The sequence below is a fragment of the Homo sapiens genome, chromosome 6 (assembly GCF_000001405.40).
Source record: "Homo sapiens chromosome 6, GRCh38.p14 Primary Assembly".
Lineage (NCBI taxonomy): Eukaryota > Metazoa > Chordata > Mammalia > Primates > Hominidae > Homo > Homo sapiens.
Genome location: NC_000006.12, coordinates 8173204 through 8192976, shown reverse-complemented (window position 1 = coordinate 8192976; position 19773 = coordinate 8173204). Strand labels below are relative to the sequence as shown.

Genomic DNA, 19773 nt, shown 5'->3' with positions numbered 1-19773 from the left:
TCTCTGAAGGTGGAGAAGAGGGCTTGGAGGCAGGAGAGCCCCACACATCTTCCACTCTCTCTTATTAGGCTGCAGTGACCTAGGTTTCTTGCTTTGGAAGGGTTTTCCACCAAGAGCAGAAAATAAGGCTTTCCCCTCTTTCCTGCTCTCTCCCTCTCCATCTCTCCTCCCCACCTTCTCTCCTTTCTCCTTTCCTCCCTCTTTCCCTCCTTTCTTCCCTCTCTCCCTCCCTCCTTTCCTCTCTTCCTCACTCTCTCTTTCTTTTCTTCTTTCCCTTCCTTCTATCCCCCTTCCTTGGCTCCACTCAGCACCACCAGGAAGTAGACACTCACTGATGAATCTTACTACCTAATAATGTAAGCATTCTTATTTTAATTTTGGCCCAGGCCAGTCTCAGGATATTTAGCTAAGTGTTATTATAGAGAATGCACTCACCCCATGACACCTTAAAGACTAACCGATGAATATGTCAAAAGATGACATACACAGCATCAACTGGCTAGCCTAAGAAGTTGGCAATCACATGATCTTTCATTAACTTTATTTGACTTGGCCAAGCTGCCCTCTGCCTCTTCAGACCCCTCCTGTTGCTGGTGCCCCTCTGTGTTTTATTTTCCTTCTGCATCCGCTAGAGGCCTGCATCTCTGCCAATCGCCACCAGTTCCCCTAACTACTTAACCGTATCTGGTATCCAGTAGCCCTGAAATGCCATTCTGTTGGAATCAGCAGGAAAAGGACGGCAGTTATAGATGAAGGCGGGCCACCAGTAAAACCTCATTAATACCTGCAGCTTTAGAGAAAGGAGAGAAACAGCCATGCTTCAAAAATGTCAAGAACACAAGATGACAAAAACAGCATTCTTCTCCCCTAACCCTGCTCCAATCACCCCCCTCTAGCCCCACACCAAGAACAGTAATGTTTTATGCAGAATGACTGCGAGAGAAAAGGCATCCCCAAAAAGAAACCCAAAGGGAAAAAAATGCACTAAATTCAGTCCTTCTTCGCCCATAACTCTTCTGCCACCATAAGTAAGTTCATTCCGACATAATCTCTACTAGAGCAAAAGAGAGCTTCAGGTGAAAGGTTACCTACATTTATAATGTCAGGCACCGGGCCTGCCAGGTAAAAGGTAAATGGTAATTTTGTCATTAGCATGCCTGACCCCTTGGCCGCACCATATCTCACAGGAAACAGTAAGAACAGCTCACCTGTCAAGATGCAAATGCTTAAAGGTCAATGCGCACAGAAATCTTCCAGAGCTCACAACTGAATTGCTGACACCTTTTATTATTGCCCGCTTAAATAAATGATTCAAGGGGCAAGACAAGGAAAGATGGGCTTAGTGTCGAGATTTACATGAAGGGTTCTTGGAGTTTTTTATTCAAAATAATAAAAAGGAAAACCTTTGGCTCTGTTTTAATATTCAGGAACAAGCAAAGCTTCAGAACTTTACAAACATTCCTAGGCTTGAAGGATTTTCAGTATTCCTCAAAAAATTCACTATCAGTTTTTAATGTAATTATGTAAGGAACTTCCTCTCCTGTTTTGCATTTTATTTGATATAGAAATAATTTCTCCATTTTTTCTTCCTTTTTACTGGGGGCAGGAAAGCAGATAGTAAGGAAGTCTTTCGCAGCATTATATGAACATTACCCAATTTAAACAGCAAAAGGGATGAATAGAAATTAAAAAAATTTTTGTTTACAATTAAAATCATAGAAAAATTGCATGTTGGGACTGGGTGCGGTGGCTCACGCCTGTAATCCCAGCACTTTGGGAGGACGAGGCAGGTGGGTTATCGGAGGTCAAGAGTTTGAGAACAGCCTGGCAAACATGGTGAAAACTGATCTCTACTAAAAATACAAAAATTAGCTGGGTATAGTGGCAGGCACCTGTAGTCCCAGCTACTTAGGAGGCTGAGTCAGGAGAATCGCTTGAACCCAGGAGGCAGAGGTTACAGTGAGCCAAGATCGCGCCACTGCACTCCAGCCTGGGTGACAGGACACGACTCTGTCAAACAAAAAAACAAACAAACAAACAAAAAAAACTTGCATGTTGCTTTTAAAGCAAGCATGGCAATTCCTCAAATGGTGAAAGATGGTCTTACCCCACAGCCCAGCAATTCAGTTCTAGGTGTGTACCCAAGAGAATGAAAGAAAGAACTTGAACGAATACGTGTACACCAATGCACGTAACAGCATTAATCATAACAGCCAAAAGGTGGAAGCAACCCAAATGTCCATCAACAGATGAATGAATAAAGATGTAGTCTATCCGTACAATGGAAAACTATTCAGCCTTACAAAGGAAGGACATTCTGGCACATGCTACAACACAGATGAGCCTGAAAAACATGCTAAATGAAATAGGCCTTTCACAAAAGGACAAATAATGGATTATTCCACTTATATGAAATGTTCAGAATAAGGAAATCTATAGCGGCTGAAAGTAGATTAGTGGTTACCTAGGGCTGGCAGAGGGTGGGGAAGATTGGGGGAAGATAGATGACACAGGGGTACAGAGTACCTTCTTGGGCTAATGAAAATGCTCTAAAATCTGTTGCAGTGATGGACACGCAATTCTGTGAATATTCTAAAAAAGTAAGCATGGCCAGGCATGGTGGCTCACGACTGTAATCCCAGCACTTTGGGAGGCCAAGGTGGGCAGATTACCTGAGGTCAGGAGTTCAAGACCAGGCTGGCCAACATGGTGAAACCCTTTCTCTACTCATAAAATACAAAAATTAGCCAGGCATGGTGGCGTATGCCTGTAATCCCAGCTACTGAGGAGGCTGAGGCAGGAGAATCATTTGAACCTAGGAGGCAGAGGTTGCAGTGAGCTGAGATCATGCCACTGCACTCCAGCCTGGGTCAAAGAGCAAGAATCCGTTTCAAAAAAAAAGAAAATGTAAGCATGATCTATTTGGATGGAAATGCTAATATTGCTAATGGGATAAAGGCAGAATTGCGGGATAAAATACTACTCTTATTTGCTAAATCTCACAAGTCTAGATAAAAGGGCTCTGATAAGTGCTGCAAAAAGTATCTTATTATTAAGAAAATAATAAAAATTTTATAATTTAGAATTTTTCCATATGTTATTAGAGAACTGACAGTTTCTCTGAATTTGTATCTACATAAAAATCATCAACCTTTTATTCAGACACAGAGATCACTAGCTTCCCACTAGTGCCGGCAAGTTGCAGGTTCCAGTCCGAAGCCTTTACAGATGTTCCTGCCAAGCTGCAAAAAGTCAGGGCTTCCAGCCCTCTGGAAGCATTGTGGAAGGTTAGCTACCTTTCACTAGCTCCTCACTGGTCAGGAAGATGGCTTATCACACTTAGAATAGTTCCCTACCCTGTACTTAAATAAAACCCTAACCTCTTTTGAGTTACTTTATCACAGCCACTCTTCTGTACCCCACACATTGCCACAATGTTGGTGCCTGAGGCCATTCTAAAAAAAAAAAATAAAGATCACTAGAATGCCAAGCAAAAGATGGGGTTGGTCATTTGGAGGTTTATATTTTAAGCTTCAAAGACTATAAAAATGGGCTCAGGGAAAGAAAATATATGCAGAAGAGATGTGTACAAATAGTCTTAAGTATTTTTAAGGGTGCCAACTCTAATTTTATCATGATAAACCAACTTAAAGCAAAAGAAGATGCTAACTGCAAACTTTACATCTGAGTACCTTCTTGCTATTCCCAAAGAGGCAACCAACTTCCAAGAAAATCTGTTTGTAGCATTATTATGGACTGAATGTTTGTGTGCCCCCCACCAAATTCCCATGTATTGAGATCCTGACCACCAATGTGATGGTATTAGGAGGTGGGGCCACTTTGAGGTAATCATGAGGGTGGAGACTCATGAATAGGATTAGTGGCCTTATAAAAGGGATCTCAGGGATCTCATTCACTTTTCCATCACGTGAGGACACAGCAAGAAGATGCCATCTACAAGGAAGTGGGCCTTCACCAGACACCAAATCAGCCAGCACCTTGATCTTGGACTTCCCAGGCTTCAGAACTGTGAAAAATAAATGTCTTTTGTTTATAAACTACCTAGCCTATGATATTCTGTTTTAGCAGCATGAATGAACTTTAAAGCAAGCAATTACCTTCACAGACATCAATGGGCAGCTGTCATGCATCAACTGCCCCACTAGATAATGGTGTGAGTGATCCCTACAAAAATAGGATCAGCCTAAGTCTTCCAGGATTTTTCTCCCAAAGGATCTAATAACTCTGCTTCACCCTCATTTGCCAGACTTCCTCCCTTGGGTCTCATGGCTTCCTCTAAACCATCCCATTGGCTGCTCTTTCCTTCCCCACTCATTACTCATGTCATTTTTAAAACTAACTGAAGAGAGTTACCATCCCACACTATGGGATCCAGTCTGTCTCTCCTAACGGAGCTGAGGTTCTAGGCAAGCCTCATCCTGTCCCTTCTTCTCCTCCTCCCTTTCTTCCCACTTCCTCTACCTTTTCCTCCCTTTCTGTCCCATTCTCCTTCCCACTCCTCTGTCCCATACACCAAATTCCTACACAACTTGTGTAGCTCTCTGAGAACCATTTGTAAAGAATTCACTGAAGTTGGCAGTTAGGGCAAGATACTCAGACAACTAGCATTCTTCCAAAAATCCTTACTGCAGGGAGGGGTGGCAGCCTGGGACCTGCTGGTAGGAAAACCTGTTGGTAGGGGGACAGCCTGTGAATAAAACCAATCTTCCGTGGACCCTCTCAAGATCCCCCTTGCTAGGTCAGCTCTGTGATTGACCATCAGGCACCAAGAACTGGGAGCCCCAATCTGTTGGTACTACTTGAAAGTCTGGGCTCTAAGAAAGCTCTGCACAGGGCCAAGCCTGTCCTGAAATGACAGAGATGGACTTCCCTTCAAGCCTACTTTCTCTCTCCCCACATCTTCTTCATTTGGGAGCAGAAGGAAGACAAGGTTAGGACTTCATTAGGCTTCTGTATGTGTGGATCAGTTTGATTATTTTTAAATATAATAGAGTGGTCTTAAAGAAGCACATGAATAAACTAGTCACTCTCTAGTAGAGCCTGGAGTTACCACTAGGAGCAATAGGAAGAGCAACAACCAGTGATAGATGCAGCTAAATCGGATCATCACCAAACCTGAGCGGGCAAGGCCCTATTACCATTTGTCTAAGGGGTAGGATATAACCCAGGTACATTTGGGGGTATTCCCTACCTGTCTGCACATGTATTAGAGCCCCTTGTTTAGCGAATTTCTGGAAAACGTAATATGATCAATAAATTCAAATTCTGAACAATATATCACTTCAGCTGGCTATGAGGCAGCATGTAGACCAAGGAAGAAAAGAGGCTCTTGCGTTTTTCATTACAAGTTTTAGCAATGATTAAAGATAGCTGGAGCATTATTTTATTTATTCTGCTTGAATGAATGAAATAAAAATTACCAAAGATTATTCCATGTTACATGGCCTGAGGATAAATTTCCTCATTTAAATCCTAAGACCAGATCAAGTTATACTATGCCCTATGACTGTATAATTTTACTTTTATATAATGCAATGATCAAAACCCTTACGTTTGCATTTCTATGCAATACATGTAAATATATGTGTGTATACAATTATTTGAGCATAAAGAAAAATAAAGATATATTCTAGGCTGTAAACATCTGTTGGAGGATTACACAGGAGAAAAGAATAAGAAAGAAGCATGTGAACGTTGGACAAAAAAGAAAAAATAAGATCAAAAAACATTAACAAATATGGTATCATCCTATTTACATTATCTTAAATGTTTTAATTTAAATTTTAAGAAATTTATATAATTTTATTCATACGGAACCAAAAAGAGCCCGAGTAGCCAAGGCAATCCTAAGCAAAAAAAAAAACAAAGCTGGACACATCATTCTACCCAACTTCAAACCGTATCACAAGGCTACAGTAACGAAAACAGCATTGTACTGGTACAAGAACAGGCACATAGACCAATGGAACAGAATAGAGAACTCAGAAATAAGACCACACACCTGCAACCATCTGATCTTCAACAAACCTGACAAAAACAAGCAATGGGGAAAGAATTCCCTATTTAATAAATGGTGCTGGGAGAACTGGCTAGCCATATGCAGAAAATTTAAACTGAACCCCTTTTTTACACCTTATACAAAAATTAACTCAAGACAGATTAAAGACTTAGGTGTAAAATCCAAAACTATTAAAACCCTAGAAAAAAATCTAGGCAATACCATTCAGGACAAAGGCACAGGCAACGATTTTATGACAAAAATGCCAAAAGCAATTGCAACAGAAGCAAAAATTGACAATTAGGACCTAATTAAGCTAAAGAGCTTCTGCACAGCAAAAGAAACTATCATCAGAGTGAACAGGCAACCTACAGAATGGGAGAAAATGCTTGCAATCTAGCCATCTGACAAAGGTCTAATATCCAGAGTTTACAAGGAACTTAAGCAAATTTACAAGAAAAAAAACAAATAGCCCCATTAAAAAGTGGGCAAAGGACATGAACAGACACTTCCCAAAAGGAGGTATACATGTGGCCAACAAACATATGAAAAAAAGCTCAGGCCAGGCGCGGTGGCTCACGCCTGTAATCCCAGCACTTTGGGAGGCCGAGGCAGGCGGATCACGAGGTCAGGAGATCGAGACTATCCTGGCTAACACGGTGAAACCCTGTCTCTACTAAAAATACAAAAACTTAGCTGGGCACTGTGGCGGGCGCCTGTAGTCCCAGCTACTCCTCAGGCTGAGGCAGGAAAACGGCGTGAACTCGGGAGGCGGAGCTTGCAGTGAGCCGAGATTGCGCCACCGCACTCCAGCCTGGGCGAAAGAGCGAGACTCCGTCTCAAAAAAAAAAAAAAGAAAAGAAAGAAAAAAAGCTCAACATCACTGATAATTAGAGAAATGCAAATCAAAGCCACAATGAGATACCATCTCACACCCGTCAGAATGGCAATTACTAAAAAGTCAAAAAACAACAGATGCTGGCAGGTTGTGGAGAAAAAGGAATGCTTTTACATTGTTGGTGGGAATGTAAATTAGTTCAACCATTGTGAAAGACAGTGTGGCGATTCCTCAGAGACCTAGAGCAGAAACATCATTTGACCCAGCAATCCCATTATTGGGTATATACCCAAAGAAATATAAATCATCTATTACAAAGATACATGCATGTGCATGTTCACCGCAGCACTATTCACAATAGCAAAGACATGGAATCAACCTAAATGCCCGTCAATGATAGACTGAATAAAGAAAATGTGGCACATATACACCATGGAATATGATACAGCCATAAAAATGAATGAGATCATGTCCTTTGTGGGGACGTGGATGGAGCTCGAAGCCATTATCCTCAGCAAACTAACACAAGAACAGAAAACCAAACACAACATATTCTCACTTATAAGTGGGAGCTAAATGATGAGAACACATGGACACGTTGTGGGGAACAACGCACACTGGTTGGGGCCTGTCGGTGGGTGGGGGCTGAGGGGAAGAATGGAGAGCACCAGGAAGAATAGCTAGTATATGCTGGGCTTAATACCTGGGTAACATGGCCGGGCGTGGTGGCTCACGCCTGTAATCCCAGCACTTTGGGAGGCCGAGGCAGGCGGATCAAGAGGGCAGGAGATCGAGACCATCCTGGCTAACACGGTGAAACCCCGTCTCTACTAAAAATACAAAAAAAAAAAAAATTAGCTGGGCGTGGTGGCGGGCGCCTGTAGTCCCAGCTACTCGGGAGGCTGAGGCAGGAGAATGGCGTGAACCCGGGAGGCAGAGCTTGCAGTGAGCCGAGATCGCGCCACTGCACTCCAGCCTGGGCGACAGGTGACAGAGCAAGACTCAGTCTCAAAAAAAAAAAAAAATTATATATATATATACACACATACATATATGAGAGATCTAATGATATCTATATCTATATATCTATATCTGGGTAACAGTTGATCTGTGCAGCAAACCACTATGGCACATGTTTACCTATGTAGCAAACCTGTACATCCTGCACATGTAGCCCTGAGCTTAAAATAAAAGTTGAAGAAAAAAATTTATATAATTTAAAAAATTAAACAATAAGGCAAGGCAATTTTTTAAAGAGAGTGATTATGGCCCTTCTGTATTTGGGTAAAATTCCTGCCGTGGTAGAATTGGCAGCACTGAATCGTGACTGCCCTATGCTTTTTTCTAGACATTCTCAACGTGTGAGCTGCATGAGGGTGGGGCATGTGTTACATTGTACCCCACCAACATGCCTGGTTCCCGGAACATGGGTATTCATTCGTTTGACTGAACGAATAACTGACAAGGCAGTCACTTCCAATAGATCCTCATAACAGACCAATAAAGGGAACAGTGGATTATCCTCCTTAACTGAGAAAAGGAAGATACACATTGTAAGACTGCACAGCAACTCTCTGACATAGCCTACCAATTTGATGGATTTTTGAAAAATATTTTCCCTCTTCTAATTTCAGATCCAGTGGAAATACTCATGTCCTGTTTTAAAAAACAAAGTAACTTCAGAATGCAAAATGAACAGATAATAAGTGTCACTTGCCTTTCAGACAAGTTAAACATTCTCATTTGTTTCCTCTCCCTTGACCCTTTACAATCTCTGTTGTTTGGTGTCATAAAAAAGCTAGGAGGTAAACTCTCAGGAATACTTTTCCCCTGAACATAGAGTAAGAAATTGAATTTTCCATTTCAACGCACCATTTGTACCTTCATCATTCAGGATTATACAGTATCCTTAACATAGATAAGAACAAAATTGTTGTAGCCATATTTCACGGTTGCTTTCTAAAGAACTCCTGCTGAATTGTAATCATCTCTCAGTATTGCTTGTGGGTGTCCATTTAATGAGAACTTCTTTACAATTTTCTAGAAAATTGTTAATTCCCAAGAATTTATATTATTAAGATCATTAAACTATGTTATTTTCAATAGACTATTAAAGATGACGCTAATAATGTAAATTTACTCCCTGACCCTGCAAAAGAAGTTGATATATGCTATTTCATTATATCTTTATCCTTGCCTTTTTAAAAAGCAGATCCTTATCTTCATTTACTTTTTTTCAATTTTTCAATTGTTAAATTTTTCTATGTAAAAAGATGCCATTTGACTTGGGGAAAAACCCCTTCAATTTAAATTAGAAAGTTACACAAAACACTAGTAATATTGTTTTACTTCACTCATTACTTAAAAGCAATATTTCCACTTTCTTTTCCCATCTTCCCTCTGCCTCTAAGTGAACATGGCCTCATAAACACAGTTCACAGAAGCAAACATGTTTAGCTGTGTCAGACTCAATTGGTTCCCAGAGAGCTTCAGACAGGGGACATAAAAAAAGGCGACAGTTTCAGAAGCCACTAAAATTTTATACTTGGCTTTGTGACCAGGATTAACGCCTTTTAGCAAAACCCCCTAAGAAATGCTGGTTGCTTGCTCTGCGCCCATCACAACCATGAAAACTCCCCAACACGTCAGCCTTCCTCATAAACAGTAAGTGTATTGTAAAACCGTTTACAGCTGTTGTAAAAATATTTTGACTATTTTACCCAACCACCTCAGTAAGACACCTGATACTAGTTAAAGGAAAAAAAAAAAAGAGAGTTTCCCCTTTTCAATCAAACCTTCCAAAACTGAGGGTGGGTGGAGAAGAGGAAAGTTCCTTTTCTATTAAAGTCATATGTTGCTCTGCCTAAGCAGCACATCTGTTATAAGGTCTCATCAAAAAAAAGTGTCTTTTCTTCTCTGGTCTTTATTTCCAGTAGCAACGATAAGCTTCCAGCTTCTGTTTTCCATCTGAGAGAGGTCAAACATTTTATTGGGATGGAGTCCAAGCTACTGTCTGTCAAAAGGAATAGAGAAGCCAAACCATTCATGTAGGACATTTCCAGAGCTGTCCTAACAAAGTTGCTTCCTCCAGGCATGCTGCCCCTATGAGCAGCAGGCTCGAGTTCAGCCCCACGCCGGCCCCAACAGCCTGGCACCCTTGTGAACACCCACACAACTTGGCCTGCACTCTTCAGCTCTGTGTGCAGCTCCTTATGTGATTACCAGACACACTCCAATCATAGTGCCCACCTGAAATCCAGAGATGATCTCTTATTTCACATAGGTATATGGACTGAGAGACTGAAAATACAAATAGACAGAGGGTGAATATACAAATAAGCAGACATACATTTTTTAAAAAGTGACCCACAATCTATGCAACCAGCCCAGGAAACCAACCCATCATCTGCAGGAGCCAGCCCAGGAAGCCAGCCTGATGTCTATGACACAGACTTTTAGGAAGTCAGACGCTATCTCTAGTAACCATCCAGGAAGCAAAACAAAAACCGTTGTAACATTTGCTCCAAAAGGGCCAGGACTTAATTAAAAACTGACAGTTTTTCTAATTTCTGTCCCTATTTCTGAGGACCAAGCAGAGAAAGCCAAGTTGCACTCTACCAAATCCCATGGGACACCTCACTTCCAGTGAGCCCCCTCCAGCTTCCCGCACCAGCAGCCTCCAATCAGCACACTCTCCGAGCCTTCCCTTTCCCCCACTATGAAGCTTCCCCACTCCTCTGCCTGCCTCTGAGTTTCTGCCAAAAGACAAGTGATGGCAGCTGACTTGCTCATAGCACGTTCTGAGTAAGTAAACAGCCTTTGCTTATTCTCATTTGATTTTTCTTCATTTATTTCCACACGACAAAAATAAAAATTCTTTCCCAATAACTTCCGGTATTTCTTCAAGGGCAATTCTATTACATGAATGGGCTCAGCTTTTTGAGAAAGAGTCTGGTATCCACTGCAAGTAGGAAGAGATGACTTCCGAATTTCTGCGGGATTTTCCCAGAGGGCTCTGTGAGGCGAGTGACTTGTTACACTGCCCTGTGCAAAATGTCCATGGGTCAGAGAAGAGAATGAAAGTGTAGACTTTACAGCCCCACTCCCCAGGGACATTTGGACTCCTGTGATAATTCAAAATTTTACCCAGACCCCAGGACTCATGTCAAACTCTATTTCTTCCCAAAATATCTTCCCAAGCCCTTCCAGAGGAGAAGACTTAACCCGAGGGCTGCCTTCCCAGCCTCAGCCCTCACACTGTACTTGAAATCCAACCATCCTGGTCCTATTTGTGCCCCTGAATTAAAGTGCATTTTCATCTCCTATAACATGCCTTTTCCCTAGCCCCCAGTAAATGTTTCCCCAATATTCAAGGCCCAGATGAAATGGCACTTCCTCTCTTTATCTTCCCCTAACTTCCCCAAGCAAAATTACTTGCTCCCTCATCTCTGTTTGCAGAACTGAATGTAAACCTCTGCAACAGAACTTGCCATGGGACATCAGAGCAATTTGCTTATATGGCCTCCCCCTAGATGGACAGATACTCCTCAAGGACAGGAACTGTGTCCTTGATATGATGTATGCTCAGTCTTTGAACTGTGTGTACGTCATATCTCTATAGCAAGTGAAACTGGAGGGAAGAGAAGGGAAGGGAAAAGAAGGGAAGGGAAGGGAAGGGAAAGAGGGGAGGGGAGGGAGGGAAAGAGGGGGGAGGGAGAAAGGAGACATGAGGGAAGGAAGAAAGGAGGAAAAGGAAAGAAGGAAAAAAGAGAAAAGAGAGGAAAGTAAAGGAGGGAGGGAGGGAGACAGGGAAGAAGGAAGGAAGGGAGGGAGGGAAGCAGGAAGATTTTAAGAGGCGCTTAGCACATCCAACCTTTATCATGCCCTTCAGTTTTCTACATAAAGCTCTATTTGCAGGTGCCATTTCTGTTCAGGCACACCTAATAATGTTGTAGTGAGAGTCTAGTATGTAGCATTTGCTAGTAACAGAGCAAAATGTGTACACCTCCCTGAAGTTGGTAAGACACAAATGCTATCTCTTCGGCGAGTGGACAGTCGGATGAAGAGTCCCGCCTGTGCCCCTCGCCAGCTCTGTGCTCGCTTCCTAAGCTTCCTGGACCCAAGCTTTGGCATCGGTAACATGAGAACGCTAACAGCAACTCAGAGGGCTGCTACTGTACAATTAAATTAGACGTGTAGGTAAAAGTCCTGGCACAGGAAAAGCAGTCAAGACATGTTTATTTCTTTGTCTGCTTTGATTTTCTCATCTTTATTCAGGCATTCAAAATCAGAATTCAGTAGACCTGGATTGTTTCAGGCACCCAGGCACACAAAAATCATTTTTCCTCCAGAGCTCAAATGCTAAAAGCTTTAATATTTTTGAGTGACACCTCCAAAACAGGAAGTTACATTAACAAGCAAACCCATCTTCATGGATGAAACAGAGTCACCAATCTCAGAGATAAAACACACTCAGTGCTGCTGTCTTAGAAAGCCACTTCTTCCTCTGGACTCTATCCACCCCTTCCTTCCCCACCCCCAAGTTCTCTCTCCAGGTCAAGAGAAAGGCTACCCAGACACAAGCCTCTCCACTCAGTCAGCTTTTAAAAAGAGCTCTGCATTCCAGGGAGCTGAACCACAGTAAAAACAAAAACATTGCCTGCAGGGAGGATAACAGAAAGGAATTTGGGGCATGAAACAAGCTGCCCATCTGACTTCAGAAAGCCCAGCCAAGCCCTCCAAGGGCAGCTTCGGTGACCCCTCGCCCCTCTCCTGGGGTACTTGCTGCTGCTCTGGTTTTATTTATACTGGTTGCCATCAAAGCAAAGGGTGAAAAATGGTTTAGGCAATTTGGTTGAAAGAGGGGGAGTAGGAGGAAGAGAGGGTAGAAAGAGTAATGATAGAGAGAAAAGAAATTAAAACTGTATTAAATAAGACAGGGAAACTCTACAAATAACCAATTTAATTGAGGGGAGTAAAGAACTGAGAAGAGTGACTCGAAGTTAGATTCTAAACAGGCCAGGTTTGTCCTTGGTGCCCTTTTCCAAAGGCTCTATTTGGAGTTATCGTCCGTGGAATTTGCTAAGCAAGGCAGAAAGATGGAGGGCTGTAAGGATGTGTGATCACAGGTCACTGAAGATGGCATCAATCTCTCTGACATCCACACACCTGAAACCAGGCTGCAAATACAAAAACAGCCTTCTTGAAACACAGAAGAGGTGCACTGTGGGCTCTGTGGGCTTCTAGCATAATAACCGCCTTTCTCCTCCAAACTACGAAAGGGGCTGGCTGGACCCAAGCTCAGAGCCCACCTGGTTCGTGCTGACCTCATTTTCAGGTATTCCCTAGGAAGCGATGGATGTGGGAAACCCAGCAGGCTGGGAGGCACCAGCCATTTAACTTCAGTTTTGAATGATATTTGTCTTCTGAGTTGGCCCTGCAGGAAAGGGATGAGTGGTCCTGAAGTTGTCAATACAATACAGAGTGAAGGCTGGAGGCTCATCAACATCCAAGAAAACTCAAGGCAAGACCCTGCCTCGTCTCGTGGAGTTTGTCTTGACCCCAGTAGAGCAGAATCTTCCCTCTTCTGTGCTCCCAGAACATGGAATCCACATCCCTATTAATCCGTCAATCACATGTATTATAATCTATAGATTTGCGTGTTAGTCTACTTAGTAAACTATGAGTCTCTCTCTAAGGACTGTGTCTCATCCAACTCTTTAACTCCAGTGTTCAGCACAGTACCTGGTATATTATAGATTTTCAGTAAACATTCATTAGATAAATGGATTAAATTGACCAAAACCTAAAAGAGAGAGACCTCTTCTTCAACTAGTCCCCACTGACACCAAAAGTAGACATGCTTTGGTGTCAAACAAGTCCAAAACAATTATTGTCCAAACAAATGGACAATAATTTACTCACTTTTATGTTTCCACCTGGCAACTTAATTTTGAGAAGCTAACTATAAATAACAACAATTTTTGCAAAAGATGTAGCAAATATTTCCACTTAAATTTATTTGTGCTGCTTCCCAAAGTGGCTGGGATCCCCAGAACTTTAATGAAGAATTCTAATGAATCCAGGCATGGTGGCCCATATCTGTAATCCCAGCATTTTGGGAGGCCGAGGCAGGTGGATCACTTGAGCTCAGGAGTTGAAGACCAGCCTGGGCAACATAGTGAGACCTTGTCTCTACAAAAAATTTTTTAAAAATTAGCCTGGTGTGGTGGTGCACACCTGTGGTCCCAGCTACTCAGGAGGCTGAGATGGGAAGATCACTTGAGCCAGGGAGGTTGAGGCTGCAGTGAGCCGAGGTTGCACCACTGCACTCCAGCCTGGGTGACCCAGTGAGATCCTGTCTCAAAAAGAAATAAAAGGAATTCCAATGATAATTTTCAAATACAATAGTCTCTGCTAATTTGCTGAGGTCAGTCTTTCAATTACAGACTCTTGAGTTCCACCCTAACCTCACTGCATTAGAATAGTCAGGGAAAGGATTTAGGAATCCACACATTTTGAACAAGATCTTCAAGTGGTGGTTAGGATCACGCAAATTTAGGTAGTGCTCTGTCAGGGAGTACTAATACTAGAAAAAGCAAGACATTAGGAGCCAAAGGACCTGTGTTCTCTACCTGTCATTTACTAGCTGTATCACTTTATGCAATTATTTAACTGTACTGAGTTTATTTTCTCATCTGTAAAGGAAGGGAAGTAATGCCTGCCCTACTTACCCAGCAGGCAGGGTTACTGTTAAAATCAAATAGGATGCTATAAGAAAGGGACAATGTTCTGAAAAAAGCGCCACCAGTATAATGAACTCAGCCTCAACCATTTATTCATACATGTACCCTTTTCTGCCTTCAAGACAACATAATCTCTCAAAGTTGAGAATAAGTGGGCATTTCAGCGCTTAGCAAGAGTCAGGAATCCCCAAAAAACGTGGGAGTGGAATAATTTCTTGATACTATGACAAGCCAGCAGCAAAACTACTGCTGTGAGGGATTCTAAGCCTCATGATCACACAACAGCGACAGTCCAAGTTGGGGAGTGAGAGGTCTTTTCCTTCTAGAACCTTCCAAGGGACTCAAGAGCAACACCTGCCAGGCTGAGCAGTGAAGGACAGACTCTCCAGTGATGGTAGAGACTTAGGCATGCATACATCTACAGACATGGGAAGGAAGGGGGAGGTTCTGTTGTCTGTTTCTACAAACTGACCATCTGTGACACCGTCCTATCTATGAGTCACCCAACTAATTAAACTACTTCACTTAGTCTAGTCCAGAAAAATGAGAAGGAAGGTGCTCATGATTCCCTCTGTTGGTTTTAATTGTACCATGTATAAATCATTGACTTTGTGAATCTTTGCTCTGTCAGTCTTTCATTTTTCTGTGACAGTTTTTCATTTTCTGTCAGTCTTTTCATTGTTCATTCTCCAAAGAATGTTGCCCCAATTGTTTATTCTTAAATTTGCCTTCTTAAGTCTGAAACCCCATTAAGGCAAGTGACATTTTTTTGTAATGCCACCAGGTAGTCCAGTTATGAGTATTTTGTTTCATGGAATAGTCAGGAGCTACTCAGGCAGCTGGAGACATAAAGAGAAATCAACCCAACAAGAGCAGCCCTGCACAGCACCATGATGGAGTGGGGAAGATGAACGGTATTTGAAGACCGTGGTTCCAACAAGGTCAGAGTGTAAGGAATCATTTTTTGATAACAAGTATTGCCAGATGCAGCAAATAAAAATATAGAACACAGGCCAGGCATGGTGGCTCATGCCAGCAGGCAGGCAGACACTTGAGGTCAGGAATTGGAGACCAGCCTGGCCAACTAGCAAAACCCTGTCTCTACTAAAAATACAAAAAAAAATTAGCCAGGCATTATGGCGCACACCTGTAATCCCACCTACTCAGGAGGCTGAGGCAGGAGAATCACTTGAACCCAGGAAGTGGAGGTTGCAGTGAGCCGAGATTGCGCCATTGCACACTCCAGCCTGGGCAACAGAGTGAGACTCTGTCTCGAAAAATATATGTATAAATATATATGTATATTATATATATACACACATATAACTATTTTTATATATATAATATATATATAAAAAATAGTTTTATAGAGAGAGAGAAAGAACACTCAGTTAAATACAAATGTCAGGTACACCGTGTAATTATTTAGCATAAGTATGTCTCATGCCCTGTTTGGGACACATTCATACTAAAAAGTTATTTGTTAATGATCTGGAATTCAGCCTTCACCAGGAATCCTGCCTTTTATGGGGCAACCATAATGATAACAGTGTGCTCTCCCTGTCTTCCTTTCCCCTGAGCCTCAGCCATAGTTGCCCATCAGAGAGGTTTAAAGATCCTGATGACCAGACCACGTCCCAGCCCAACCAGATAGAATCCCTGGAGGTGGGACCCAGGCTTCTGTATCTTCATCATTCCAAACCTCTGCCAAATTTGAGAACCACTGTCAGACTTCTGGTGTTTAGACTTTTCTTTCAAAGGAAAAGGCAAATGAGCTAGTTTAGAATGAAATCTGAAGGACAATCACCCATGTATCTATAGGCACTTGATTTATGGTAGAGATGACACTGAAGAGCAGGGAGGAAAGAATTCAAAAAGAAAGAAAAGAAGGAAGGGGGGGAGGAAAGAAAAGAAGGAGAAAAACGAAGAAAGGGAGGAAAGAAGGAATGAAGGGAGGGAGGAGGAAGGGAGAGTGGAAGGGAGCATTTCTGCCTCATATCATACATAAAAATCAATCCAGTTGTATTCTAGATTAAATGTGAAAGGCAAAATAGAACGACTTTATAAGATAATATAGAAAGAAGAGAAAGATTTTTTAAAATAAAACATAAAGGCACAAACCATAAAGGAAAAGATTGATAAATATATGGCCACATTAAAATTAAGAATATTTGGTCTTCAAAAGACATCAATAAGAGAATGAAAAGCTAAGCCAGAGAGTGAGACAGGCTACTTGTCATTCATGACCTGTTCATATCCTGAATTTTTTTAAGCCCTACAAATCAACAAGAAAAAGATTCGCCAATAGAAAATAAGCAGTAGACTTACCAAAGACTTCACAAAAGAGGCTATGCGAATGGACAATAAATATGTGAAAAGGTGTGTAACTCCTTTGTAACACAGGAAATGCAAATTAAAACCACTTTTTGAGGTGTCACTATATACCCTGCAGAATCGCTAAAATTAAAAAGAGTAACATGTCAAGTATAGACAAGAATATATATCAAGGATAATTCCGACACACATCTGGAAAGAGTGTACATTGATACAATCATTCTGGAAGAGATAGTCTACTACTAATAATAAGAATCTGACCTGACGCAGTGGCTCACACCTGCAATCCCAACACTTTGGGAGGCCACAGTGGGAAGATTCCTTGAGGTGAGGAGTTTGAAACTAGCCTGGGCAACAAAGCAAGAACCTGTCTCTAAAAAAAAAAAAAATCAGGCCTGGTGGCCCACACATGTAGTCTCAGCTACTCGGCTGCTTGGGAGGCTGAAGTGAGATCACTTGAGCCCAGGAGGTTGAAGCTACAGTGAGCCATGATTGCGCTACTGCCTTCCAGCCTAGGAGACAGAGCAAGATTCTGTCTCAAAAAAACAAGCAAGCAAACAAACAAAAAAACTAATGTAATCTGCTAAAGATGAATATATCTATATACTTTACAACCCTGCAGCTCTAGTCCTGGGTTATAGGTTTAACAGACATGGCTGCATGTGGACATCAGATTTGTACAAGGATATTCATAGCAGGGGACAATCCAAATATCTGTCAACAGTAGAACAGGTGAAAAAAATTGAAGGAGAGTCACACAATGAAATGTATAGCAATGAAAACAAACCACAGCCTCAAACAACAACCTGGATGAGTCACTCACATAAACTTGAGAGAAAGAAGCCAGACACCCAACAAAGTAGGCAAAAATACAGAGCATCAGTATCCACACATAGATGGTAAAAGATAAAGTAAGCAAGGAAGTGACCACCATGAGAGTCTGGAAACTGGTTGCCTTTGGGGAGTAGGCTGGGAGCTGTGATTAGAAAGGGGCACACGGGCGCCTCTAAGGCTGGAGTATTTGCTTTATTATATTTCATTAAGCAGCGTATTTATGATTTACGCACCTTCTTCTTTAAGTGTGCTATATTTCAAAATTAACAAAGTTTTATTTAAAATGATGCTCAGGACAAATTTATATGTCTTCCATGAAGACTTCTTGCACCCCATTCTCTGAGCAAGTTTTGCATAAACCTGCCTCTAAAGTGTTGCCGCTCCCTCCAGGGCCCTGCCCACCACCTTTCACTCCCACAGGTTTTTCAGGTGAATTCTGGTTAAAAATGAATAGTAGTCAAAGCAATCCTTTAAAAACGCAAGTCAAGACATGTCACGCCTTTGCTCAAAATCTTCCCAGATCTCCTCATGTTACTCAGAGGAAAACTCAAGCCTTCCCAATGACCCCTAAAGCCTTCAATGATCTGTGAGCGAACACCAGCTCACCCCTCCGGGCCTCTGCCGTCCTCTGTCCAGCCACACAGGACACGTCTGTGCTTCAAACTGACCACACAGTCTCCCACCTCCCCAGCCACTCCCTCTGTCCACAAAGGTCTCCCCCAGCATTCACATGGCTCCCCTTCTTCTGGCACTTGATCAAATGTCACTTTCTCATGAAAGCTGACCCTAGCCACTTCATTTGGAATCGTTACACCTCCCACTGCATTCCTCATCTCTCTTATCCTGCTTTTTATTCTCCGGTGATACTCATGACTTCTACCTTCTAACATCATTGACTTTCCTACTGGTATTTGTTGCCTATCATTCCCCACTGGAAGGTAAGCTCCATGAAGGCAGGGATTTTTGTCTTTTTTGTTCACTGCTATATCCCCCACACTTAGAAGAGTATCTGGCATGAAGTAGGCATACAATAAATATATGTTGAGAGAGTGAATGAGAGAATGAATGAATGAATGAAAAAATTTATCAAATGCAACTTGGAAAAAGTTAAGAAAAGTAGCTGCCAATAATGGAACGATCTGCAAATTGAAGTGACACAAAGGATGAGATTGTCAAATCAATCTCAGGTGAATTAGAGATTCTGCTCAGTGTCAAGCCTTCCTGGTCATTCTGAGGACACAGGTCATCAAGAGTCAGGGGTCAGGCAGAGAGGTCTGGAAGCAGCCAGGTCCTCTCCACAGCAGATGCTCTCCAGCTGAGATGAGGACATGACCTCTCTAAGTGATCTGTAGAGTTCACGTCACTTACAGCAGAGTTCCATCTCCTATACAGGACATCCATGTTTACTCAGTTTATGTGGTAGAGTCATGCACCATGTGGCAATGTTTTTTGTTTTCGGTTTTTGGTTTTTTGAGATGGAGTCTCACTCTTGTCACCCATGCTGGAGTGCAGTGGTGCGATCTCAGCTCACTGCAACCTCCTCCTCCTAGGTTCAAGGGATTCTCCTGCCTCAGCCTCCTGAGTAGCTGGGATTACAGGCGTGTTCCACAATGCCCGGCTAATTTTTTTTGTATTTTTGGTAGAGATGGGGTTTCAGCAGGTTGGCCAGGCTGATCTCGAACTCCCGACCTCAAGTGATCCACCCGCCTCAGCCTCCCAAAGTGCTGGGATTACAGGAGTGAGCCACTGCGCTCAGCCACCATGTCACAATGTTTTGGTCAACCACAGACCACATATATGACTGAGGTCCTGTAAAATAATGGAGCTGAAAAATTCCTATTGCCTCGTGACGTCATAACCATGGTAACATCAAAGCACAGGGCATGACTCCAGTGTTTGTGGCAAAGATGGTGTCAACAACCCTGCCGTGCTGCTAGCCATATGAAAGTCTAGCTCATGCAGTGATGTTCAGCCCAGAATACTCGATAGTGATAATAAACAAC

At 42.3% G+C, this 19773-nt stretch overlaps 1 long non-coding RNA gene across 4 annotated transcripts in view, besides 1 other annotated feature; it reads right to left on the bottom strand.

The window, feature by feature from the left end:
- Positions 1-19773, bottom strand: part of LOC105374910 (uncharacterized) — a 102802-nt gene that overhangs the window by 68006 nt on the left and 15023 nt on the right. The window lies entirely within an intron of this gene.
- Positions 12564-13109: an enhancer, noted in NCBI's record as "OCT4-NANOG-H3K27ac hESC enhancer chr6:8180101-8180646 (GRCh37/hg19 assembly coordinates)". NCBI's record gives its function as "activates a minimal SCP1, AML or CMV promoter by ChIP-STARR-seq in primed H9 embryonic stem cells {active_cell/tissue: H9 hESC(primed)}" and the evidence as "EXISTENCE:reporter gene assay evidence [ECO:0000049][PMID:30033119]".